Below are 27,214 nucleotides of genomic sequence, written 5' to 3'. Positions count from 1 at the left end.
AAATATTGTTTCAAGCAATTTTTAAAATATTTATTCCTGCCTCCTTCCTACCAGCAGCAGTTCTATCTACTACTTTGCATGTAACTCACAAAGTAAGGCCTCCATTTGTGCCTGGTTTAGCTCTTCGAGATGATTCTGGAGAGTTTTTGAACACCCATTTTCACCTAAAACATTGCATGGTTCTAGGACATTTGGCTGCATATTCTGCCAGCACTGACATTCTTGCCACTGCTTTGGTCTTTTTTGTTTGCCTGCTATTGCTCTGGGTTTCCTAGAATGTGTGAATAAACGTGTACATCAGGCCAGGGATCTGGCCTTGTAGCCACAGTGCATTGCACGAACTGTCAGAGAGGAAATGATCCGTTTTCAGATATTGATGAGAAGAGTTAGCTCAGCCTTGCTGAGTTTTCAAAAACCCTAGCCCTGCAGAAAATCGAGTCATCCAGAAAACCCAGTCATCCAGAATCTGGAGCCCTTCACCCAGGGCTTCTTGAAGGGATTCTAGTGCCCACCAGATCTAGAGGATACACTCCATGGACCACGCCCTGTGTCCTGTCACTTGATCAGGAGCAATCTGATTGCTAGGGAGCCAAGGGCACTCTCCAAGAGAAAAAGTCCCTAATGGTAACATGTTTGCTAGGGAATGTGCAAAGTGGACCATTTGGGTCATGGTCTGATGACACATATGAAAGCCTTACACAGTTTTAGAACCAGCTGGGGAAAGGGCTTTCTTGCCTTTCACAGTACAACTAGCATCCTGTGGGGCCCAGCAGTCACCAATAATTAGAGGATGTCAGGTCGGGTGTCTGACTCCCCTCACTGGAATCTCACCCTCCTAGATGTACAAATGCAGCTATCAGACTCCTGTACTTTTTTATTTTTTATTTTTTTGAGATGGAGTCTTGCTCTGTCACCCAGGCTGGAGTGCAGTGGTGTGATCTCAGCTCACTGCAACCTCCGCTTCTCAGGTTCAAGTGATTCTCCTGCATCAGCCTCACTAGTAGCTGAGATTACAAGCATGTGCCACAACGCCTGGCTAATTTTTTTGTATTTTTAGTAGAGACAGGTTTTCACCATGTTGGCCAGGCTGGTCTTGAACTCCTGACCTCAAGCTCTCTGCCCACTGTGGCTTCCCAAAGTGCTGGGTTTACAGGTGTGATCCACCACAGCTGGCCTATTACTTTCTCTTCTTGATCTTGTTTCAAATGATACAAGTGTCTGTCTAAAGACAGTACATTCAGACATACAGCCTTCTCTGCTGCTGAGCTTAGATTTTGGAGAAAACCAAGGCAAGGAAAACTGAATATGATTTTTTAAACTCACAAGATGAACCTCATTTTAAAAGTTGTTATAAAATTATTAAAGATAGTTTTATTTTTTGATTTCCATTTTATGTTCTGGGCTCCCAGGGTCCCGGGAGACCAAGGGGTATTTTCACAGCGTTACTGTGAGTTTACTTCCTGATCATTGCAGAAGCAGTGATAGCTTTTTCCAACATTTAGACTCAGGCAGTTGGGAGCCTTGCACAGGGAAATAAGAAACTATTATTCATTGTATGTTGGGTGGTTGTTTTGTTTTGGTTTTCCCCATTTTGTTAATTTGTAAGGTAAATTTCCCGGGACCTGAGGATGTGTTTGTCAGGGCCAGGTCCTGCTTCCCTTTGCCTGTTCTTAATAATGAACTTGAATGGAGAAGTGCAAGCTGGTGGCTCACAATGTGCCAGTTCTCACAGGGATTGGGGTTGCTAGACTTTCCTTAAAACTTGGAAGAGCCAGCAGCCCCGGCCCAGGTGTCTTCAGGGCAGCAATCTGTTGAAGGCAACCTGCTCTCCAATTTTCTGCCGTCGCTATCCCACTTGCTTCTATCATTAGCAATTACCTGTCTGGCTCCAGGAAGCATCTGAGTCTGCTACCTCAGATCAGAGCAGGAAGCTCACGCCTAGGGAATGCCATCACAGGACAGACAAACTACTCCTGCTACCTGGATTTTCCCAGGTTTCTGCAGGCACCAGGCTTGAGACTGCCCCAGGTAGTATACATGTGTACCTGTACCGCCAACACAAGACCGCTCGCTAGGGTCTTCCTCAATTCTATACTTGCTTCTCTAGTTGCTTGGTTTTGATATTTTCTCTATTTTTTCCCCTCCAGGATACCCTGGTTAGGTTTTTTTAAACCAGATTTTACTCTCTAAGAGTGTTTGGGGAGGGAGAAAGAAAAAAACAAACACTAAGTCCTACTATCCCCAAGTTTCCTAAGGGTTTGGAGAAAAATTAAAGTGAGAAAAAAATTTTTCCCACTCTATTTGATACATCTCCTTCCATGGGTTAAAATGTCAGTTTTAACTCCCTTTTAGATACTTGAGTCTCCAGCCACCCTCCCCACTGTTAGGTGGACTTCTGCCATCTGAAGCAGCAGACACCGCACTTAACCCTGCAAAATGTATTACTGGAGAAGATGTAGTTAGATATGCAGAAGGCACTAATTAGCACCTTTATTGGCTTAGAAAGCATTTTTTATTTTGGTTTTCCTAAGCATTTCTGACTGATTCATGGAAGACATTTGGTTCTTTGGAATATCGTCCAATAGACTAATCAAATTACATTTTCGCAGGGCTCTAAAATAATAGCATTCTACAGCTTTCTGTAGATTTAACTCCTGCATGACTGGGACACTTAGTAGAGGCAGTCAGCAACATTTGTCTCAGTTGGCAAATTATTAATCTATGTTCTTATTTAAAAGAAAGTCTCTTACACTCTGCTGACATTCATGCTCAAAACCTTAAAGCCCATTGGAATGCTTTGCTCTTTTTCACCCACTTGTCTGTTTATTTCCAGATATCTTTGACCCTTCCTCCCCATTCCACTGCCGCCCCCTATTGTAAACCCTCGTCACCTCAAGCCTGAGTTCATTATAACTTCTTCCCAACGTGTTCCCCCTCCCCACTGCCAGGATAAACACTGCATCTGTCATTCCTCTTCTCACTACAGTGAGTTCAGGACTCACTATAATAGAGCTGGCAAATGTGTAACATGCTTGCTTCAACTCCCACAACACCACACCTGCGACAGTTATCACTAATTATTATCACAAATTATTCACGACCTTTTCAGGTGAACAAAGATAGGGTGTCAAAATCCTGCTCAGCCCAGACCACAAGTACAACTACCTCTCCATTTGAACTGGAACCTGAGATGACACTCCAGTGTCATCTCAGCCCTAAGACATCAAGTGTTATTCCCTCTTTCTGGATTTTAAAAGTTATAATATGACCTCATCCTATCTAACAGAAACATTTCTACCATTGCTCCCTAGCATGAAACCATTTCTTTCATCTGATCACCTTCCATGTGCTTTTCTGCACATATTTAGCTTTCTTCTCATTTCTGTGCCTTTGTTCAAACCCCTATTGCTTCCAGCAAATTAATTTTTCTTGCTTTGCCTCTTTGTTTTTTAAAAACCATATTCCTCCTTCATTTACTAGTTTCAGTCTCACCTCTTTTGAGGAGACTTCCCAGTCTGACAATATCTTCATTATGTTTTACTGAGCTCCTTTTGTCGACTAACTTTGGGGAAATCAGATAATTTACAGATGATTCCGTCTCAGTGGGGTTTATAATTTTGTCAGTGAAATGGATGATATCCCTAACAATTTGAGGCAGCACTGGCCAAGAGCCACATGGGTAGAACCCAAAATGCATGTTAGTGGTGTTCAGAAGAAAGATTCAGTATCAGTGCAGAAGTCAGGAAGGTCTTATGGAGAATATGGGACCTGGGTCAGGTCTCAAAAGAAGGAGAGGAGAACAGAACAGAAAGAAAGACTTTAAGACAGGAGGAACAGGATGAAGAAAGATAAAGAACTAGGAATATAATGAGAAGGAATAAGACTAGAGGGTCTTGTAGAAAAGTTGATGTAGGTTACATTTGAATTATAATGATCCTGGACAGTTAGAGTGACATTCTGGAGAACAAGAGTCATATATTTTACATCATTGTTCCCTTCACCTAAAACAGATCATTGTTGTGAATATTGTCACCTGACAAGCAGTAAGGGAACATCTGTTATGTTTACTTGGATTTACTTTGACTTTTTCTTATAAAATAGACCAGAAAATTTATATTTTTTATTTTATAAGTTCCTATTCTGAAACAAATTCCTTTTGAAAAGAAATGAGTTTATTCTTCTGAGACCTCTCTGGGGATGGGAGAAGAAATAACTAAATATATAAAAGACACATGAATTAACCTATCAAGTAGTAACTGGCACCAAGCATATCTTTGACAGAAACTGTCTTTTTGCTGTAGGAGTTACTTCTAGTCTTTTCACTCACAGTTATGCTTGGATGTGTTGTTAAACAAGTGCTAATTATATAAACCTACATGTTAAAATGTGCACTCATTGTATGTGTCTTATCCTTGCATTATAATGACAATGCACTCTCACTCGCATTATAATCCTGGCATTGTAATGACAATGCATATCTCAGCCAGATAGCACTGATGTTTAATTTGTTTTCTGGTGGGGGAAAGAGTTTGCTATGAACCAGATACTCTCTCCAGGCTTTTTTTTTTTTTTTTTTTTTTTTTTAAATACATAGCTTTCATATGGAATCTGAGATTAAGAATGAATTTGCAGCCTGGGAAGAGGGACCTTAACATCCATGACCATGGGCTCTTTAACACCACTATTGACCTCAAAAAGACTCTGAATGTTCTATCTTGTGTTTGTGGTTACAGGAAGGTCTATGGATCCATATTCATCCCAAACTGAGACTCAGACATGTTTGCTTGTGTAGTTGGTGACCATGAAGAAGAGTTAATCTGCCCACAGAGGTGGTAGTTCTTAGAAAGGGAAAAGAGAAAGAAGTTGAAGGATGCCCATGAGGCTCTTTTCTGTAAGTCATCCAGGTGCCCTGAACAGACAACGCCCTGGAGATGAGACTGTCAGGCCACGCAGCTAAGATGCCCTAACATTTGCCAGAAGACAGAGCAGAAGATGAGAGTCCATCCTTTGGGAAGTGCTTCAGTGAGACTCACAACGTAAGCAGCAACGGCAGCTGTCCAACCTTTTGCAGTTATTGAAATTCATATAGAAAGAAGGGGCACAGGAAGGCATCTGTCATAGCTAAAGGGAGAAACCCAAATCATTTCTATCAGCAAATGAGCTTGGGTAAGCAATGTTTTATTGGAAGAGATTTCAATACCCCAAGTGGAGAAGTCTCAGAACAACAGGTCCAGACTCTGCCCACAGCTTCAGGAAGGCTGGGGGAAGGCACCATATGCCTCAGTACATCTCAGCCACCAATCATTCCCATCACACCTGGCTGCAACAGCTTTCATCTCCTGAAGAGAAAATCCTCTTTGCCTTCACTTTTCTTGCAGTTGTTATTTCAATTAACTGCTCCCTTTCACCTCTCAACTCCTCAAAGCAGTTTTCTGTTTTCTGTCTCCAATTCTTCTACTATCATTCCCACTTGAAAACTGTACAATCTTCTCCCATCTTTCCTCTGAAATAGCTCTTCTCAAGGTTACGGTGTCGTTCCTGCTCATACATAGTCAATTAACAACAGCTGATGGGGTTGATCATTCCCACCGTGACACACTGATTTCACTTGCCTTCAGACTCTTCTCTTTTGGTTCCCTTTTTACCTCATTACCTACCTCTTCTCCTTTGCTGGTCCTTCACATCTTCCTGGCCTCTTCTTTGTCTGCATTTACTTGTGTGGTCTTCCGTCTTTAACACATCTACCCATCAGCTACTCCCAAATGTATATATCTATTCCCGGACCTTTCCTCTGAACTCCAGATTTGTATTTCCAACTACCTACTCAATAGTACCTTCTTGGATATTTATTAAAATTTGAATCACGACATGCCTAAAATTGAACTTCCTATCTCTGAAGCAAAGCCCTATCCTTCTATTGTTTTTCCCATCCCAATAAATTGCCACTCATTCTTCCAGATGCTTGGGCAACATTTTTGCAGTCATCTTTGATTTCCTTCTTTCTTTGATATCCCACATACATTCACCAGCATATGCTGCCCTGTCTACATTTTAAACATAACCAGCATCCAACATTTCTACAATTGCTACTAGCCTTGTATAGCCCTATCCTCTCTCCTCTGGATTACTGTATTAGCCTCTGAACTGGGATCCCGCTTCAACCCTTTCCAACCTCCTCCTCCCAAAGCCAACTCTGTGAACAGCAGCTAAAGTTGTTCTTTTAAAAAGAACCAAGATAATACCACTTCTTTGTAACACTTTGAAGGGTTCCCTTGTGACACTGAGTAAGAGCCAAAATACTTACAGGGATATACATAGCCCTAAATGATTTGGCTTCTGGATAATTCTTTAACCCCTAGCCCTCTACTCTCATCTTTGCTCACTTAACTGCAACCATTCAGGCATCCTTGCTATTCCTGGAACACAGAGGACATACTCCTGCCCCTGGCTTTGCATATGCCATCTTATTTTCCTGAAACAGCTCATCCCCAGATAACAAATGTTCCCCTCCTTCACTTCTTTCAGGTAGCTGCTGAAATGTAACCTTATTTGAGATGCCTTTCCTGATCATCCATCCTCCTAGCATATTACATATGTATTTATTTGTTTATTGTCTCTATCACTATTGCATCTATTTTCTTCAGCATTCTCAGTACTAATGGAAAGCCTGGTTTTAGGAGGCAATCAACACATATTTGCTAAATACTGAAGACAGGAATAAAAGGGAATCTGTCAGAAACTTCGTGTTCCTGTGGGCAAGGAAATAGAGCTGATGTCATGTTTGTTCTTCAGTCTTCAGTCTCCAGCCTAAGTCTAAGGCTCAAGGGGAGATATGGGCTGCAGGAAGAAGCTGAAAAATTACTTTCATCATGGGTTTTATGTGACATAAAATACTAGTAATGCTGCCTAAATCTCCAGATGATAGTCATGTAGTATAATGGACATCAGTGTTTCTTTTTTTTCTGAGACAGAGTCTCACTCTGTCACCCAGGCTGGAGTGCAGTGGCATGATCTCTGCTCACTGCAACCTCCACCTCCAGGGTTCAAGCAATTCTCCTGCCTCAGCCTCCTGAGTAGCTGGGACTACGGGTGTGCACCACCATATCAGGCTAATTTTTTTTTGTATTTTTAGTAGAGACAGGATTTTGCCATGTTGGCCAGGCTGATCTTGAACTCCTGGCCTCAAGTGATCTGCCCACCTTGACTTCCCAAAGTGCTGGGATTACAGGTGTGGGCAACTGTGTCTGGCCATGGAATATGAGTGTTTCTATACAAATTCTGCAATAAGTAGAGCACCATAAAAGCTCAAAGGCAATGATGGTGGTTCCCAGAGGAGCAGAAGAAGAACATGATGCTCAGAAAGTATTGAAATGACTTGTCTATGTGGTGATACCAAGAGGATTCTATTGGAGTAGTAGCAGGGGCAGTGGAAGGGAGCTCATTTATGAAAATATTTGAGATAGCTAATAACTCCCAGAAATACTTAGGGGGAGATATTTCTTGTGTCACCAAGAAGAGGGCAATAATCCAGCAAAATTTAGGTACCAATGTTATTGTAACCTAATTTGTACCTATAGACTGGTGAAAATTGAGGCAAATTTTAGTTATAGGAGTTATTTATAGGTGAATTTCAGCATAGCTTTATACTTCTTTCTTACTATTAGAACTGTTTCTAAGTAGTAATTTTGCTTTGAATTAAAATCTACTCTATGTGCCTCTATATTTTAGTGGCATTAAAACCTTAAATTTAGAGAGCATTCTTTTCTGCCACCCAAAATTGGCTCACAGAAGTAAAGAAAAGTTAGAGATAAACTTAATGACAATTGATTTACACCAGTGTGCTGTCATTGGCGGTATGCTAGTTTCTGGTTAAAAGAGCAGGAACTTTGAAATCAGACAGACTTGAATTCAAATCATCTCTATCTCTTATTGAGGGTGAAAAATACCTCTTTCTGAGGTGAGAATATACTCAAGATCTACTCTTTCAGACAATTTTAAGTACAAACTACATTATTACTAATATAGTCACCATGCTGTACTTAAGGTCTCTAGAACCTAGTCATCTTATAACTGCAAGTTTATACCCTTTGACCAACTTTATGTATCTTTTTAAAGCTATGAATATAGACACTTTACTGACATAAAAAAAAAGTTAGTATTGCACCACATCAAAAGAATTGAACTCCAGAGGACTGTGTTGTGGTCCCAAAGGGCTGATGCATAAGAGTCAGAAGGCCTGGAGGGAGAAGTGCCAGTGACTTACCCACATTGCCCATGCTTTGACTTGTCTAACAGGGATGTGGATGGGGTATCTTAGCCTATTTTCTGCTGCTATAACACAATACCGCAGACTGAGTAATTTATAAAGAAAAGAAGTTTATTTGGCTCACAACTGTGGAGGCTGGGAAGTCCAAGATCAAGTGGCTGCATCTGGTGAGGGCCTTCTTGCTGTGTCATTCCATGGTGGAAGGCAGAGGATAAGCAAGCACACAAGAGAGAGAGAAAATGGGGACCAAACCCATCCTTTTATCAGGAGCCCACTCCCGTGATAATTAACCCAATCCCATGATAAATAACTCACTCCAGGATAAGGGCATTAAACCATTCATAAAGGCAGAGTCCTCAAGACCTAATTACCTATCAAAAGTCCCACTTTTCAATGCTGTCACTATGGTGATTAAGTTTCAACATGAGTTTTGGAGGGAACATTGAAACCACAGCACAGAGCTTTCCTTCCAGGGGTTTCCACGCATAACACGTGTAGTAAATGTTATTAGTCTTCCAGAGGGAGAGCATGGCTATACAGACAGACAGATCTAAGCTGAAAATCTCAACTCCAATACCTACTAACTGGGTGGCTTTTGTCAAGTTACTTTACCTTTCTGAGCCTCATTTTCCTCCACGTAATATTTACCTCAAAGGTGGTCTGGTAAGCAAGATAATGTATGTATAGTATCTAGCATGTGCATCCTCAGTATGCATTAATTTTCTTCCCCTCCAAGTTCTACTGATGAAGAGGCTGAAGTGCCAAGGGCTTTACCTGGCTTAATTGTGGTAAACAAGGTACAAAATGGGCCAACCAGATTCCCGCTTAATAAAAATGAGATTTGAGATTTTAGGTAGCTGCAGATGACCATGACAGCCAGAGAGTCATCATAAAAGGCCAAGCCTCATGTTGGCCATCATAGAACCCAACAGGAAACCAGGAACAGGACCACTGAAGCCTTATCCCAACTATCTATGTTATTTGGGCCCAGTCCAAAGGCTGAAGACTCACTAGAATGCTTTCTGTGGGAAGCACTGGGTCACCTGTAAGATGAAGACACTTAGATCTTGCTGCTACCTTAGTGTACAAAGCCTCAGAAGTGATTAATAAGGAAACCAGCCTTAGAATGAATTCTAGTTAGTTGACTAGAGTCCCCTGGAATTTCATGTCCACCTGGAATCTCAGAATGTGCTGTTATTTGGAAATAGGGTCTTTGTGGATTGTTAATTAGTTAAGATGAGATCATACTGGATTACATAGGATCCTTAATCCAATGACTGGTGTCTTTATAAGAGGAAAAGACTCACAAGGAGAAGAAGCCATGTAGAGATGAAGTCATAGAAAGGAGTTATGTAGCTGCAAGCCAACGAACACTGAGGATTGCCAAAGCCACCAGAAACTAGAAAGAAACCAGGAGGGATTCTTCCCTAGAACCTTCAGAGGGAGATCAGTCTTGGTGACACCTTGATTTTGGGCTTCCAGACTCCATAACTGTGAGAGAATACATTTCTGTTGTTAAAACAACAGAACTTGGTGCTTAAAACCACCAAGTTTGTGATAATTTGTTACTGCTGCCCTAGGAAATTCATGCGTCACTCTACATTTTATCAGTATTTTATGAGTTTTGACAGGATTTTCCCTCCAAAAGTGACTTCTTTTCTTCCTCCTCTTTGGGTCCTTTTCATCTCCACAGTTTTTCTCCCTGTCACCCTTGCCATGACCTCCAGGTCCCCAGTTTCTGGTACTGTTCTAGCATCCACCATTCTCAATGTGTCTCTCAGCTCCCCCAAGCTCAGTGCAGCTCTCTCATCATGGCTGAAGCCAGCATGCAGTGGGGCTGATATTAATAGAAGGCCAGGCCTCCATTCCTCCACCTGCCTCTAACCAGCTGTGACCAACAATCATGGCACTTGACCACTCTGTGCCCCAGATTCCTCATCTGCAACAAACAGACGAAACAAACCATGCTACCACACAGGCCATGGAGTTTAAAATATGATCGATGAGAAAGGGCCTTGTACAAGCGAAGGCTCAGTTAAACGTGTAAGAAGCTATTCCATTTTTATTAAAAATCTTGCTGAAGATAAAGGACCTGGCAAATCAAGACTGTGTTTCTGATCTCGGAGCCATATCACTATCCCAATTTTCCTCCAGGTCTTTACTTCATGTCTGTGCCTTTCCAGTTCATTGACTTGGTTCAGAAGAGGAAGAGCTGTGATTTGTCTTTAATTTCTGGGAAGTGAAGCTTTTAGTATGGTTACTGATGACTCCAGAACCAGTGCCAGGCCTCTCACCACAACCGGGGCAAGAGAAAACATTAGGGGGATATGAAATGCTGGCTATTTTTCTGAAGTTTTTGCTTTTCCTTGAGTCTGAATTATTATGAGCAGAGAGGTACTTACATTTGATTTATTGGCAAAAATCTTTACAGTATTTGGCATCATGGAACTTTTATATTAGAAAAAATAAAGAAGGTTGGTGAAAAGGGAAATTTCAATGATACATATAGGTTTTCTTTTAAAAGTAGTAAAAAAATTCAAAATTTAAACTGATTTGTAGCCAACGGTCAGTCTTAATGTAAGATGGCAGTAGAGGAAGTGAAATAATTAAAACCAGCAAAGTAAGTGACTATTAGACTAATAATTTTTTCATCTAACCATTAAGTTCCTAATTTATGTCATTTTTTCACACAAATTCTTCACAATATTTCATCCATTTTGAAACATACTTTTTCACATTTTAACACCTGTGAAATCAAGATACGTATTACAGTCAATATTGCCTTCTGTTTGTAATTGCCAGGTTTTGTTTTTTTTTTCTAAATGGTACTTAAAATATGAATGCATTTTATAATTGAAGGGTCTTAGATTCTATAAAATATGATATTGCATTTAATGAAGATGGAAACTGTGAGTCCTGTAATTAAATTTCTTTTTCTTTTTATACTGCTTTTATCAAATCTCAGTGAAACAAGTGTGATACATTTTCTCCTTCAGAAATACTTGTACTGTTTGCTTTAGAATTCAGACATTTATTCTTCTTGAGAACAAGTGCATTATTAGAAAGAGAGAATGTAAGTGCAATTTTGAGACCAAAGAATAGAAAAAATCTAGATTCAGAAATAAAAGTATAATACAGGATGGGGAAAATTAAACAATTTCATTTTCATAACTACATCCTTGCAAATGTCTTCATAGAACCCAGTGAGTTTATGCTATACTCTGAGCCATTGATGATATGGCAAGAGCCCTGGGTTCGGCCCTTAACCTGCTGCTGGGGAAGCACCTATCATTTTTGTCGCAGTCATATGTCAAATGAAGAGATTGAGCTGGATAGTTTTTGAGGGCTGATCATTTCTAGAAGCCTCTGATAATGCTCATTTTAAGAAGATTTATTCACGTAGATATTTGAATATATCTCCTACTCAGCTTCCCAAAGCATAACTGCTTCTCTTGTCTTACCAGTGCGGTCAATGACTTGTTGAAAGTTTTCATTTGCAGAGACACTGTAAAGAAACAAAAGTATTGTGAGTCAAACAATGTGTGTAAATAAATTATACTAAATTACTTTTTAATTAAACAGGTGAGAGCAAATGCAGAGTTAGGTTTTAGTAAGAGAGGACTTTTAGAAACCAATAAACAGTCAGGGACTAGAGTAGTATTTTATTTTGTAGTTTTAAACTGATACATAGTTTTTACAATAATAGAATAATACTTCACGTACAATTAAAATGAAAATCCCTACACTTCCCCGACCTTGCCCAGGCAGAGTTACACACATTGTTTTCATGGATCTTTGCAAGAGAAACATGTAAGGCACACACACACAAAAACACTTACAAGAATCCAGAGTCCAGCCACTGCTGAATACTTTCTTGCTTGGAATCTTCTACAAGTAAGAAAGAACAGATCAGTTAGTCAAAGCACAACCAGCTAAAAGGATGCTACCCTGTTTACTCAGCCGCCACTCAGTCACTATTTCCCACATATTTAGTCACATGTTTCCTTCCATAAGCATATTCATTTTTTTTCCTGAAGGCAAAATCTCCTGTTTTCCATGATCAGCCTTTCCTGAGAATGAAGTGTAAACTTGTCAAAAGACTGTAACTTAAAAAAAAAGAAAGAAAATGTGAGAGAGAAGAAAAATAAACCACTGAAGAACGAGAGATGTTAGAATAATTTTTAAATTACCTGGTGTGAATACAAAGGGTGAGAAAGCATAAGAGACTTTTGTCTTTCTCTTGTTGGATATAAATCACCACAAAGCCTCTCCTTATTGAATCACATTTACCTAAGGCAGCCAGCCAGTGATGGTTATTTGCAAGGAGTTCTCTGCCAGGTTAGAAACCAAATTTGCATTCATTCCAGGGACAAATTGCACTAGAGTCCCTGGATTGCCAAAGGCACCCTGTGTTAAAAAGGCACCAGTCTTTTAAGGTGGATCTTTATCATTGGCTCAACAAATAGTCAACAGGTAAAAAGGAGAGGATGTAAAGCAGCATTTCCTGTTAAATATTTGTTTCCATTCTGCTTAGCAACTGTGTACTCTAGGCTAATTTTGTTTGACTTTATCCTATCAAATAGTGAAGTGCCTGAATTATCTCCCTCACAAGGTGTCAGGTGAACCATAAAAGCCAGGTGGACACAGGAGGTCTGTATTGTTCTTCAGTTGAACTGCTGTGAAGTTAGAAGGAATTGGGCAATGGGCAAAGAAGAAAAACCATTCAACAGTTACATAATGGGGGCAGGGAGTGCTGGAAGTATTTTCTTACTTATTACTCTTTAAATGATTAAAATTTTTGTCAATGCCTCCTGCAGGATCCAACAAATCAGAGTTTTTCAATAAAATGTTTGATGACCTGAAAGAAGCCTCATGCCCAGACCCCACACAGCTTCAAAGTCCTGGGAACTTAGGATGAGGGATGTTTGGAGTGGAAAGGAAGCAGAGTTCATTCATTAATTGGTCTACTTCTTTCAAGGAGGTCTGTGTCCTGATGTCTATAGCAGAAGTCAGAAGTGCCCATTTCATAAATGTTTCCGGCATCATGCCAGGAACACTGGTATATTCAAAGCCAAATACTTTTGTTCCAAAATCACCTGCCCCTGGCCAAAAGCTCCCACATCCCTCACCACTCACAGAGGAATGTTTTCAAATAGGCCTGAGAGTCCTTCTCACCCAGCATGGGGATGGTGAGACTCTGGCTTTCCTCCTCAGGGTCAGGGGGCAGCCACTCATCCAGCGGAGCCCACGCGCTTTTGGTGCACTTCAGGATCTCTCTCTTGCTCTTTTCCTGGCCTTCCTGAAGGTTGTCAGATCCTTGTGATTTCTGTGCCATCATAGGAGAGTAATTCTGCAAACTAACTTAAAACACACACACACAAACAAATCAGACACGATGAGTTCAGCTTCTGGGCTTGGCTCAGTGAAAGGGAGAAAGAAGGCCAGAATGCCTACAGTCAGATGAATGATCCAGCTTCACAGTCATACATGAACCTGGCTCACCCACCTGAGCCAAGCTCCCTGTCTCAGTTTGGTGAAATGCTTCCTTCCCTCTCCAAGGCAAAGCAGCCTGGGACTCAAGTGGCCATGCCAGTCATCAGACCACATGCGCACTCTGCACTTTCACTTTGGTGGTCTGGGATGTGGACGGAGAGCAAAGAAATTAGACTTGAGGACACACCCAGTAAATAGCCTTCAAATTTACCTAACAGTTATATCTATAAAATTATTTTTGAGGCCCAAATGTTGGAGAAAAATGAGGGCTTTGGCAACAGATTGGCTTGGCTCAGTCTCATTTCTGCAACTTGTTGTGTGCCCTCACATAAACTGTAGAACCTTTCTGCATTCCCTTATTTCTAAACTGGCGATACACTCTACCGAATTTTAATAACTGTTAACCTCAGTGGAATACTTATTATGTGCTAGATTCTATGCTGAATTCTATACATTCATTATTTAACTTAATTGTCAATGAAGGAAGTAATATAATTGTCACAATTTTATGGTAAATTGAAGACCAGAGAGATTAAGTTGCATGTCCAAAGCCAAACAGCCAGCCAGGACTCAAAACCAGGCACTGGACCTCAAGCATGTTCCCATGACTATGCTATATATCCTATAGGATGGCTGGGACAATTAAAATATTTATGAATATATTACACACCTTGCACAAAAAGTATCAGCTGCCCCCATTATTTAACTTGACCTTCATGAACAACCTGTAAAACTAGCAGAGTAAGAGCAGGACACAGCAGCTTAGCGCAGCAAAAGAAATTGTTCGGTCTCCGCAGACTATAAGCACCATGAGAACAAGGGCCATTCTCTTACTCATTTATGTATCTCTAGAATTTAACTGGATTTTTGGCACATAGTAGGTGGTGAATCAACAAATACCAAACTAAAATAGCAAAGTGAGGTTTCAAGCCACACTTTCTGATGCAATTACTTCCATGACATATGCTTTAATTTGCATTCGTTTATCCTTCAAGTTTACAGAAATGGCCAAGTAGCCAAACACTTACTTCAGTAGCATTTCTAGGATCCCTAAACTTAATGCATAATCACTGATCACATGACATGTAAATCATTTCTAATCTGTTTGCAAAAGGCAAACCATTCAGATTTATTACAAATGTAAATATTTTCTTTCAAGAATAGGTGAGCGTTCTAGATGCAACTGGCAGCACAATTTTCTTACGTGCTTTATATATTCAAATTCTGTCAGGTATAAATATATACATTTATTGTTGCAATTTTAAATTACTACAAAAATCAATAATTATGATGGCTGTCAATTTTATGTTAAAAAACAAAAATGAAGACATTTCAATTAGTTAAAAATTAAGGGAAAAAATAGTTATATCTATATTAACAGTCAATATTTTAGCCAGTTAACTTTAGGAATATCTGCTGGTAGCAAATTATAAAAATTTCAGTAATAACACAAGACAGAATAATGCAGACTGAATTATGTTCCTAACCTTTGGAGAATTGTTTGGTATACTAGAATTCATAACATTAAACAAAATAACCTTTAAAAACTCACTGAAATTTTAGTTATTTAGCTTCACATAGGTTTTGGGTCTTTCAAGGAAACACATAACTCTTCAGCAGTGCCTTTATCTTGTGAGCATGAATGCTAATAACAGCATCGACACTGACAGTGCAAAATTTCACAAGGAGGAAAAACTCCAAAACCATGCTCAACAACATTCATGAAATACCAGATTCAATAAAGGATCAAAAGGTTTGAAGAAAAGAATAACATATCACAGAAAAATAAGATCCCCAAAATAATCTCACTCCTTCACTGATTTTGGCTGAAAGTGAGTTTCATTTAGAATGGGAGAGTTTGCACTGTGGAGGAAACAAGAAGCTATCAGGTAGCTGATAGTATTCAAATTGCTGCTTCTGTATCATAATGCCAAATTTTAAGTTAGTGACTGCTTTTTCAAATGTAACCCTGGAGAAAATTGTTAAAATTTTAGGTAAAAGTGCTGCTTTATTTGTACGTCCCCAAACTTCCATCTTATAATGAATGGCATACTTGACCTCAGCCTCCAGCCTTACACAACCAGTGAGGATATTCTGTCTGCCAGCTCTGTTGTACTTGGCCACAGAGCAGGAAAAAGGCTTGCCAAAGAAAATGGGAACCCTTGCTAAAAGCAAGGGTCAGGGACCAGTTCATAAAGAAAACCTCTTTTGTTCCCCCTGTTTTAGTGGATGCCTTCCCAGTTGGTAAACAAATCTGCTTCTGGAAATGGATTTTCTAAAGCTTGAATGGCCTTCCTTTGGCATTCACTTACTTGACCCCCAGAGCAGCCCTTCGGAAAGGGACACAGATCAGGTGGTATCCTGGAATTGCTCAGTGGATAGACAGGGCACAAGTTATGGCATGTGACTGCCTGCAGACTTCTCTAGTTAGTCTGTCCGCCCCAAGGACCATTTCGAACCTAGTTCTTGCTAATTCTTTGACTTGTCCCCAAGAGGAATCCTCATTCTGGATCATGTCATTCCATGCCTGGGGAATCCAGTAACTTCTGTCTCTTCAAATCCCTTCTACTCTGATTACTATGCTGTCATTTATCCTCATGTGTATACAAAACTTCTACTCATGTGGGAAATTGCATATAGTATCACGTTTAACCAAAAAAAAAAAAAAAGAGGATGCAAAACTGTATATGCACTAAGAACTCAATTTTGTAAAAACTAAATAAACAAATGCCTTGAAAAAGGAAAAAAAAAGGTACCAAAATGTTATCAAGGTTTAAAAATGTTAAAAATAATCAAAATCAGAAAAAATGGCTCTGTTACATTAATTCTACTTCACATTTTCTTAACTTGAGCAAATTCATCCATACATGCTCCTTTTCACTGTGAAGCTTTAGAGCCACAGTGAAATCATAAAACTTGGTGCTTTGACACTTAAAGCAGTGACAATGATTACATTCTTGTCCTCTGAGTTATTTCACTTTTTGTATCTTTATGCAAACAGGTTTTCTTGCCAAACAGGTTGTTCATACTAGGAGAATACAGACTGTGTTTTATTTAATCTCTGTTCCCCATAGATCCCAGCACCTTTGACCCAAGGTAACTAATCTTTATTAGTAATTGCTTGGTTACTTGGGAAAGGAGCATTCAGTTGGCTTTGTCAGCTTTCTTAGTTCTTGTCTGGTTAAAAGAGCAAGTGCTTTCAGGTCAGATAACTCTGGATTTTAATATCAGCTCTGCTGCTTTCTGACATCTTGGGGAAATTTTCAAACTTTTCTGATAATCTATTTCCTCATATCTATAATGAGTATGAAATAAACACTTTATGGAGTTTTTGGGAAAATTTAATGAAAAATATATCCAAAACAATCACCACTCATATTGGTCAGTTTTCTTTCTTTTTCCTTCTCTTCTGTGTGTTGCTTCTTGTCCTTATCCTGTCAGGAACTGTCAAGTAAAGAAGAATCACCAATCAATGCAATCATTTGTCTCACAGAAAATAAACTTGACCCTGTTAGTTTGTGGGTAGCCTGTGTTGTCTTGAAATTACTTAGTTTGGATGATTGAGAAGTAGATGTTTTTGGGAGAGTGAGAATAGAGTATTTCTGTGACCATGAGAATATGGATTTCCCTGAGATGAGTTAGAGGTGCTTATCAGAGTCTTGAGATTCCTTCAATTATAGACTAAATTTTAAGGTTATAATTAGAGCCTGTAGCTCCAGCCTTGGCCACCATTTCTGATTAAACTCGGTGGCCAAGAAGAGAACTGCATAATGGGAGAACAGCCCGAGGCATTCTGCATCCAAATGGATCTCTAACACCCTGTCTACATCTCATCCATGGATCCTCATTGTCATAGCCTCAGTTCGGGCCTTCCTAAGATCTCAAATAGTGTCCAGGCTTGCCTTGTTCCCCTCCCTACTTCATATGGTGACTTCCCCAAGAGCAGCATTGAAGAGAAGTCTACATAGATCCATGTGTTCCATTAAGACCTGCCCCTTTCCCAACCATGATGCCATTCATGGAAGTTTATAAAGGAAGCCTCCAGAACCCCTCCTATTCTCAAAAAAATGATTACCACAAACCTCAGTACCACTCATATTACCTACACAAACTAAGAGACCAGTCCTGAGAGGCTGGCACTCTCAGAGAACTAACTCATCCTTCTTCCCCTGGATGACCACAGGAGCAATCACATCATGCTGTTGGGCCATGCTCTTGTGGCAGTGAACATCACTTCATCTGGCCCAATCTTCCACCCTTCCTGGAGACTCTCCCAACACTTGTGCCCTCTAGAACTCATGCCCTATCACCTACCAATACCCCTTCATTCTAACCTCTTCACTGAATGTCCCTTCATCTTCTTTCTCTAACTGAAACTGGGATATGGTTCCTCAAGCTATGGCTCTTTCATTTCTTCCTTAAAAATCTGTACTATAGTCTTCAAGATAGTGTAAATTTCCTCTATGATCTTTGTTGCTGCTTCCAGACCTTGTTTCCTCTGTCCTTTGAAGCATATGCCATCAGACTATGTAGTCATCAACATCCAGGGCATTCACCTTCATTTACTGAAAATTTTAGTATGGTATTTCTGTCATCTTTCTGGAAGATTTCATTATCAATGTAGATGGCTTGCCAACACCAGGCCACTCAGTTCAATGACCTGTTCACTTTCCATAATCTTTCCCTCTGCTTGATTCCTATGGTTGTACTTCACTGTAAGAGAACACTCTCCAAAATCCTAATTTCAAACATCCCCCATCACCTCTATTCTACTCATAGATTTTGCTTGGGCACCATTTTTGTCCTCCTTACTGGATTATTCCCTTTAGTTTACAATACACTCTAATGTGACCCATCTTAAATTTGTCTTTCATGTGACCACCTTGAATCCCTCTCCAACTCCTACCTTAGTTTTTTATGAAACCAATGATGATTCCCAAATTCTCATTTCCAAATCTGGTCCAGCCTGTGAGTTTACTTCACACCAGGGTATTCCCACTTACTTAACATTTCCACTTGAATGTCTATACACATTTTGTGCCACACTGAATTCTTTATTCTTGCCTGGACTTCTTTACCCTCCCATATACCTGCTTTTATTCTAGTGTGCTTCATCTCAGTAAACAGGGCCACTATTCAGGCAGTTGCTTATGCCAAGGACTTATGAGTCTTCTCTGATTCCTCTATTCCTTTCATTCCCACATTAAAGCACTAAAAAAAAGAAGGAGCTGCTATGGTTTGGCTGTGTCCTCACCTCAATCTCATCTTCAATTGTAGTTCCTATAGTCCCCATATCGAGGGAAGGACCCGGTAGGAGGTTATTGGATCATGGAGGCAGTTACCTCCATGCTGTTCTTGTGATAGTGAGTGAGTTCTCATGAGATCTGTTGGCTTTTTAGGGGGCTTTCCCCCACTTTGCTCTGCACTTCTCCTTGCTGCCACCATGGGAAGAAGGACGTGTTTCCTTCCCATTCCACCATGACTGTAAGTTTCCTGAGGCCTCCCCAGCCCTGTGGAACTGTGAGTCAATTAAACCTCTTTCCTTTATAAATTACCCAGTCTCGAGTATTTCTTCATAGCAGTGTGAGAACTCACTAATACGGGAGCCATTAAAATATATCTCAGACCAACCATCTCCAATGCTATCAACCTAATATCAGCCAGAACTCGCAGTTTCACACATATCACAGCAAAATGCTTTCATCTGCAGTACTGTCCACACCTTCCCTTCTCTTTATAACCCACTTGAGTCAGTATGCTGGTGGTCAACTTTCACTTCTTATCATTTCAGAATTTTTGGCAGCATTTGATGTCGTTCACCACATCATCTTAATGAAAATAATCATTTAACTTGGTTTTAAATATAAGCCTCTCTAAGATTTTCTCCTACCTCAAAGCTTTTTTCCTCAAGCTTTTTTGCTGATTTTCTTCTTTCCAATCTCTAAATTTTGAGTGATCTATACCTCAATCCTAACCCCTTTATCTTTTCTGTCTACATGCCTCCCTATATGAGTGTGGCTTTAAAGGCCCCTTTGTAATCCCATAGTTCAGTGTAAATCACTATTAAGGTATTTTCACATTGTTTTATAAGTCTGTTACACTGTGTTCCACTTATGTTTAACCATCGTGAGATTTTCTTCAGGACAGAGATCTTAGCGTTTATATCATAATTGCATGGAAAATGTACTCAATGTGTATTTGTTGAATGAATGACTATTTAAATGAATACCAACAAGGAATTGAGGAATACCAAAGCCAATCTGGTTATGAAATAGTTAAGGACTGTTTGATATTTAGCAGTTAGACAACTCATCAGAAAGTGCACACTAACCAGAATTAGGGACACAGCATCAGAAAATATAGCATTGTAGATCTGAATTAGAAAAATTAGGAGATTATACACACACAGACACATGCATGCACAGACATAGACACACAGTTATATGCGCACGCACACACACACACACACACAATATTTCTCTGTTTTGAAGCAAAATTTTCTGAGTTATCACTTGATGCCTGCTTATTTTGTCATTTTTACAAAAATTATTGGAGTAAATACCTTCTTTTACCTTCTCTTATGTGCCTCCCAACAGCTAACAAACAGATGAAAAATCTTAATCCATTGCCAAGGAAACAAAAAAGTAATTTATTTTTAATTAATCAGTAAATAGTTATCAATTGGCTGTATGACATTGGGCATGCAGTTTCAAGTTCTTTTGGAATGTAATTTCTTTTTGCATAATATGAGAGAATTAGACAAAATGAGATAATTCCATAAGTTTATTATTCTTTTTCTAGCCTCCACATAGACTGTTTAATGTTTGTCCAACGGAGTTCACATTATAAGACATTTTAAAGTTGTAGTCATCAAAATAATAAAAATAATAATAATAAAATACTCCTATTACTCAAAGGTTTGGAAGATCACTCAAAAACTGAAGCAACAAAATCAAGCCAGGAATGTCCTTCTGCTCTCCCTCCCTATCCAAGTATTAAAGTCCCACAAACACTTGTAAAGATTTCCAAATGATTCAGTGAAGTAGAGGCATATCCTGGGGAATAGAGTGTTCTGTCAACACTCTGCTAGGAGGAACAAGCAGTCTGTGATGACTTGTTCCGTGGGTGGCTTCCTCCCACCACAAAATATGTGAAGGGTGCTCACTCCTGCCATTTAGGAGCAGGCTGGATATAAAGACAAGGCAGTTGTGCCCAAGCTGGAACCCAAAATCAGTCTTCCTGGAGTTGGAGTATTCATCTTTTACTGGTGAAAATAAGGAAAAGACTATTAATTCAAAGACTATATATACTGCTTCCTGGAAACTTGAAATGACTTCAAGGCTGATAAAGTTGGATAAACTGATTCATCTACTGCTAGCCCTGTTTCAGTCCCTTTCCAACTTTAAAGAGATTTTTTTTTCCTCCATGATTTCCCTCTTTATCCAACATTTCTCCTCTTGCCTTCTCAACATTTGCTTTGCTTCATCTTGAGGAGGGGGAGTGAAAGGTGAGAGGGCATCTGTGATCCACCTCTCATCTCCTATTCCAACATCACTGCAATCCAAGTTCTTTCATGGACACCATATTCTGGATGCACAGAACTACTTGTTCCAAGATGCATCATCATCTTGACCCCACTAAATGCAGATCTTTCTATAAGCAGTGGCCTTGTCTTCACTAGACACTGTTTCATTAAACTCAAATAGAACTTATTCTATAGAAACTTCTTTCTCACTCTTCACCCCTGACTCTAACCTACTTCTGACACTCACAGCAACCTGTGTAGCCCCTTACTGTAGCCTCTTCACATGCAAGTTGAGAGGCTTATTTTCATCTCTGCCTTTCCCACCAACTAAATGAACTCCTGGAAGGCAATGACCATGACTTATTCATCTCAGTATTTGTGGTACTTAGTTCAAGATATAGATAACAGTGGATGATTAGCAATAACTCTTTAATGAATGAATGATTGCTTCTAACTCTGGACTCTGTTCTCAGTACCTGGGAATTATGACTTACTTTTTTTTGTAGTCTCTATCATGTCAGGCACAGTATCATGCTCTAGAAGTTGCTTATAAAAGTACATTGTATAAATGAGCTATTAAATCAATAGATTCAATGATATCTACTAATTCAATTAAATATATGAGTGTCTACTGTGTACAAACAATCTTTGGAGGAGATTACATTTAATTACAAGCAATAGTTCTTACAAACTATGTTATGAGGCAGAATGTAATATGCATCTTAAGAAAGGTACAAAGAATTGTTCTCAAATATTAAAGGAGAACGTTGTTTATTTGAGGGGGGTATAAAAAAAGCTTCTTGGAAGAGGAATCCTTGGTTCTGGTCCTTGAAGATGGGATAATGGATGAATAGGCAAACTTTTCAGACAAGAAGACTGAAATACATGTGAACCTTTACAGCATAAATTTCACCAAAGAGCTGCTAAGCAGTGGCTTTGTGATAATTAAACGTATGTTCTTTAATATTAGTTTAACAAAATAACAGGTCATCTTCTGTGATGGTTATTTCTTTTAAGGAAAATTGTAGCTGGGCTCTATCACACCTGCCTTCCATGTACCTTTTCTATTATCTTTAAAAATAACTGGTCAACTAGGAATCTTCAACTTGATAAAAAATATCTACAAAAAATCAGTAGCCAACATCATACTTAATGGTGAAAACTTGAAGCTGTCCCACTAAGATAAAGAACAAGGGAGGAATGCTCCCTCTTACCATTCCTTTTCAACATTGTGCTGAAAATAAAATAGAACAATAGAACACAATAGAGAGCCCAGAAATAGACATAAAAATAGTCAGCTGGTCTTTGACAAAGAAGCAAAGGCAATACAATGGAGAAAAGATCATCTCTTTAACAAGTGATGCTAGAAAAGTTGGACATCACATGCAAAAAACTAATCTAGATCAAAAACTACCTCAAAATTGATTATAGACCTAAATGTACAATGCAAAACTATAAAACTGAAAGAAGATAACACAGGAGAAAATCTAGATGCCCTTGGATTTGGTGATGAATATTTAGATATGACACCAAAGGAACAATCCATGAAGTAAAAAAGTGATACGATGATCTCCATGAAAATTAAAACTTTCTGCTTTGTAAAATATAGTGTCAAGAGAAAATGAAAAGACAAGCCAAAGAGTGGGAGAAAACATTTGGAAAAAAATTGTCTGATAAAGAGAACTATAAACTAAAATATCCACAGAACTCTTAAAACTCAACAGTAATGAAACAGTCTAACCAGAAAAAGATAAGAGATATCTCACCAAAGAAGATACACAAATGGAAAATACGCATATGAAGACGCTCAATTTATCATCAGAAAAATGAAAATTTAAACAACAATGAGACACTAGTAAACACCTATTAGAATGGTAAAAATCCAGAACACTGATTTATGAATATACTCATAAGCAAGCTATGAGTATATTCAAAAGGCCTTATGTTTTCCTCTTCATAAATCTTGTTTTCCTGGAAAAGGTTTTTTCCCAGCCGACTGAATTACTTTTCTTCACTCTGTCTTGCCACTTTTAGTGCATGTACTTCTGGTGGCCTGGGACTCCTTGGGAAAACAGAAAAGACACCACAAATCCTGTTTTGGGAAAAATCTCTGTTTTCCTTATGGAACCCCTGGAATTAAAGGTGAATAATTACCTCTCAAAATCTGTCTTTGTCTTCCAGCTATGCTTGTTTCCTAGGCCCTGGAAATTGTTTTCCTAGCCCCATTCTTAAAAGGCCTCACCCAAAGGCCAATAACCCAGTTGGGAAATTAGCAAAACAAACAAACAAACAACAACAAAAACATAACTACTGGATATTTTTCTGGTTGTCTGTGTGGCTATATATGTGTTATGTGTGCAATCTGTATTTAAAAAGCTCTAATTAATTGGCCTAAGAAAAATAAGTGCTTAAATCAAATATTTTTAAGGAAAAAGTAAAAGCTGTGGGACCTTTCAGTCCACATGACCTTAATCTTTAAAACTTACTGGTACAGTAAGATTAGAAATGTCTTAAGAGTTGTCAGCATACATTTTTGTTTGCATATACTAATCAAGCAATTCCATACTTATCTCTGTCAAATACTATAAGGTGTCAAAATTTGGCATAGAGGCTACAAAACTGTAACTCAGCCCCAAACAGAATAATCTTTGCTTGTGTAATTTTTTAATAAATGAAACGTTAATATTGGTTTAATGAAGATAGCTACATCTTGAACTATTTAGTAAAATATCCTAACTTCTAATCTTGTAGCCTTAGGCAGTCTAGTCCACAGACATAAAGGAAGTTTGTTTTGGGAAAGAATAACAGTTCTTTGATATTAAAGAAAAGAGAATTTATATAAAAAGAATCTTAGATGGCAAATTCTTGTCCTAAAGTAAATTAATTGGTTGTTTAAAGAAAGGGGTGTTTACAAGTAAGAAATTTGAGTCATCTCAGAGATTGTGTAAGTCGTAAAAAAATGTATAAAAGGGAATTTATGCAAGAAATGTTGTACAATTTAAAAGTGGTTTAGCCTCCTAAATGCTGACTCTTCGCTGCACAACTTGCGAGCTTTGCAGCTAGGTAAGACCTAGGACACATGGAATGAAATGCTAGAATCAGTCAGACCTTATCTGCACTTCTGTCTAGGTCCTAGGCTCTATAACTAGTACATAATTCAAATCGCAAGCTCACCAGCAAAAGTAAAGGTTGCTAAAAGTTAATAGTGTAACATGTATTTAAGACTATTGAAAAAACAATTTACACATACTTTTGGTAAGAAGATTATAAGGAGGCATGAGAATGTGGATTTTTACCTACATTAAAAGGCTAAAGAATTGTTTTAAGTTGAATAAAATAAAAATGAAGGTTTAAGCAAGTTTTGGAAGGTTAATTGTAAAGGAAATTCTGTGTGTAAACATTTTGGCTAAAGCTAAAGGGGTATCATCCAATTTTTCTGGAAATTGAGCATTAAAATAGAAGCACAATGGGTTTCTCTTAAAGCACTAACCTGCTCTTTAACAAAAATTATAAAGGGTTAAAAAGGGTCTATAAAAATCTTACCATATGGTCAAACATTAAAATTGGGTAAACATGTCTACAAGGTTTTATTAAAAATTGAGTTTAACATTAACAGCACACTAATATAAAGGTAAAATTTGGCTTGTTATATAATCATACAGGAAGCATTGTCACATATAAAATGGTATTTGGCTTTCTTTGGGTTATATTTGTATAAATATGTTATTGGTATGTGCTCCAAAGTATGGGAGACTCCTATAATTCTGATATATCTTAGTGTATGTTATCAGTAATAATTATAATTGTTATGTTAAAATTGTTGTGTGCCGCAAAGGTACCAGATATCCTCGTAATTTTAACTATGGCTACCCTAAAACTTTTTGTCATCCATAAACAATTGTTGTCTTGTTTTGGTCCTCTTTAGAAAGTGGTTTTAAAATCAGCTATAAAGCTCTAATAGGTGCTCTTGAATGCAGGTTTCTGATAACTTTGGAGATTGTGACATCAGCATAGAGGACAAACATTCAGGACTATTGAAGAGCTAGAATGTTCATTAATATTATGCAGGACAGGAATCAACTGCATAAACTGAACTAATAGGAGACTGGAGTGATCTTTCTGACATTTTGCTTAAAATATTACTAATCCTTTGTTTTGCTTTTCAAAGTCAAATAAACTTTTGAGTTATTGACAGCTTTTAGCAATTTAGTATACTCCCATGAACAAAATTTGGAGCATACTTGTTTCTCTTTACCTGATTTTCTCCAGAATTTGGAAACTATCTGTGAGTATTCTTAAGTTATGACAATAGTTATTTGCATAATGCAGTAAAAATCTGTTTTCTTTCGTAACAGGGCACAACTGGAAAAACTGGTTATTTTTACCAAGGCTTTGACTGGAATGGTGTGCTTTCCTTTAAGGAATCAAACTTCACTTATGAAGGCAATAAAGCCCTTGGAAAACCGGCCTTATATTTTGTGTACACAGTCCCTGTAGAGGGTTTCTGATCAGTGGTAAGTAAATAATGTCACTTTCTGACAGGCCGGGAACCCAAAGTTATCTTGGAACCTCAAGAGGAGAGGAATTCACCCAACTTATAGGTATTTGATGGTACAAATCCATGGCTGGGCTTGGCTTTAAAAAGGTCTTATCTCAGATTCCTTCTCTGGAACAAAGTTCCATCAAAGCCAGTTTAAAAGGACTATGTAACAAATAATTATTCTTGCTGCACTGCATGCAAATAATTAAGCCAAGTATAATAAAGCAAACCAGTCCTACCATGATTTGTCTTTTAATAAAAATGGGAAACTGGAGAGAGAAAATTGTGTTTCAAAAACTATAGCACACCTGTTGTTAAATTCTAGTCTTGACTCATGTTTTTAATTTTTATTATTTTTTACAGCTTAAATTAAATTCTAATTTTTCTGGCTACAAGTTTCCAAAATAAGCTGTGTCCTGAAGCCCTATGAACTGAAAACTAGATGTTTCAGCAGGCGCTGCCTCTAAGCCCCACCAGTATTACAGGAGGAAATCTCTTCACTGCTGGCACTGACAACTAATAACTGAGGGTGCCTGGAACCCTTCACCCCCACGTCTAGTGAGTCCATGGAACCCAGGGATCATGGCCATTTCACAGACAACTACCCAACAACATCTACAGACGGTGTTACTCCTACAGTCAATCTGAGACCAGAAAACTCTCCATCCCCTCATCAGCAGGAAGTAGCTAGAAAGAACACACCACTGCTCGTCCTTTTTATAACTACGGGGTCTGGATTGACAGAGCAGGAGCATCACCATTTGAACAAGCACTGCCATTTTAAGTTCACCTCGATAAAAAACTGCCTAAATCCAAAGGGCATCAGCCTAATGGCTAAGGTCAGCATGACCATAAACCATAAATAACATCTCCGACCAGAAACATTCCAAACCCCTCCCCGATCAGATACATGCCACCCCGAGATAACTTGCCCACCAGCCAGAGAGATATCAGCCCCAAGATAACCTCCCCTTCAACCAGAGACATTCCAGTGCTTCAATAAACTTCTCCCCCACACAGAAACATTCTGAGCCTGTGATTAAGCTGTCTCATCCTGAACCCTTAAATAACCTTAGTCTGTAAGAGAAAGTGCACCTGACCAAAATCAGCCAGAAGCCCCTCTCAGGTTTATCTCCAAAAAAAACAAACCTGTCTTTGACTGTTGAACTGTTTTTCATGCTTCTCTCCACTTTCTTTAACTCTTACAGTACAGGCACTTTGGAAGACAGTTTGGTGGTTTCTTATGAAACTAAGCACACCTTTAACGTATGATCTATCAGTTGTGCTCTTTGGTATTTACCCAGAGGAGTTGAAAATTTATGCCCTGTCAAGTGCAGTGCCTCACATCTGTAATGCCAGCACTGTGGGAGGATCAATAGATTGCCTGAGC

At 38.8% G+C, this 27,214-nt stretch overlaps 1 protein-coding gene across 8 annotated transcripts in view; it reads right to left on the bottom strand.

Moving 5' to 3' along the window:
* ITPRID1 (ITPR interacting domain containing 1) overlaps positions 1-27,214 on the bottom strand; it is a 144,631-nt gene that overhangs the window by 92,092 nt on the left and 25,325 nt on the right. For 3 of the 8 annotated variants that reach the window (XM_011515213.3, XM_017011872.3, NM_001257968.3), the window contains exons 2-4: positions 13,442-13,627; positions 12,106-12,154; positions 11,728-11,771 (exon numbers count right to left, since the gene is read on the bottom strand). In XM_011515213.3, coding sequence (XP_011513515.1) covers positions 11,728-11,771; positions 12,106-12,154; positions 13,442-13,604 — 256 coding nt within the window. In that variant the 5' untranslated portion in view covers positions 13,605-13,627. Of the gene's footprint in view, positions 1-11,727; positions 11,772-12,105; positions 12,155-12,556; positions 13,422-13,441; positions 13,628-17,129; positions 17,204-21,621; positions 21,634-27,214 lie in introns of those variants that run through there. The other 5 variants (NR_047565.3, XM_017011871.3, NM_001257967.3 and 2 more) reach the window with 4 other exon arrangements.

This window comes from Homo sapiens, chromosome 7 (genome assembly GCF_000001405.40).
Source record: "Homo sapiens chromosome 7, GRCh38.p14 Primary Assembly".
Classification (NCBI taxonomy): Eukaryota; Metazoa; Chordata; class Mammalia; order Primates; family Hominidae; genus Homo; species Homo sapiens.
Note: the sequence above shows the minus strand (reverse complement) of the source record. Positions and strands in the feature narration are given on the sequence as shown.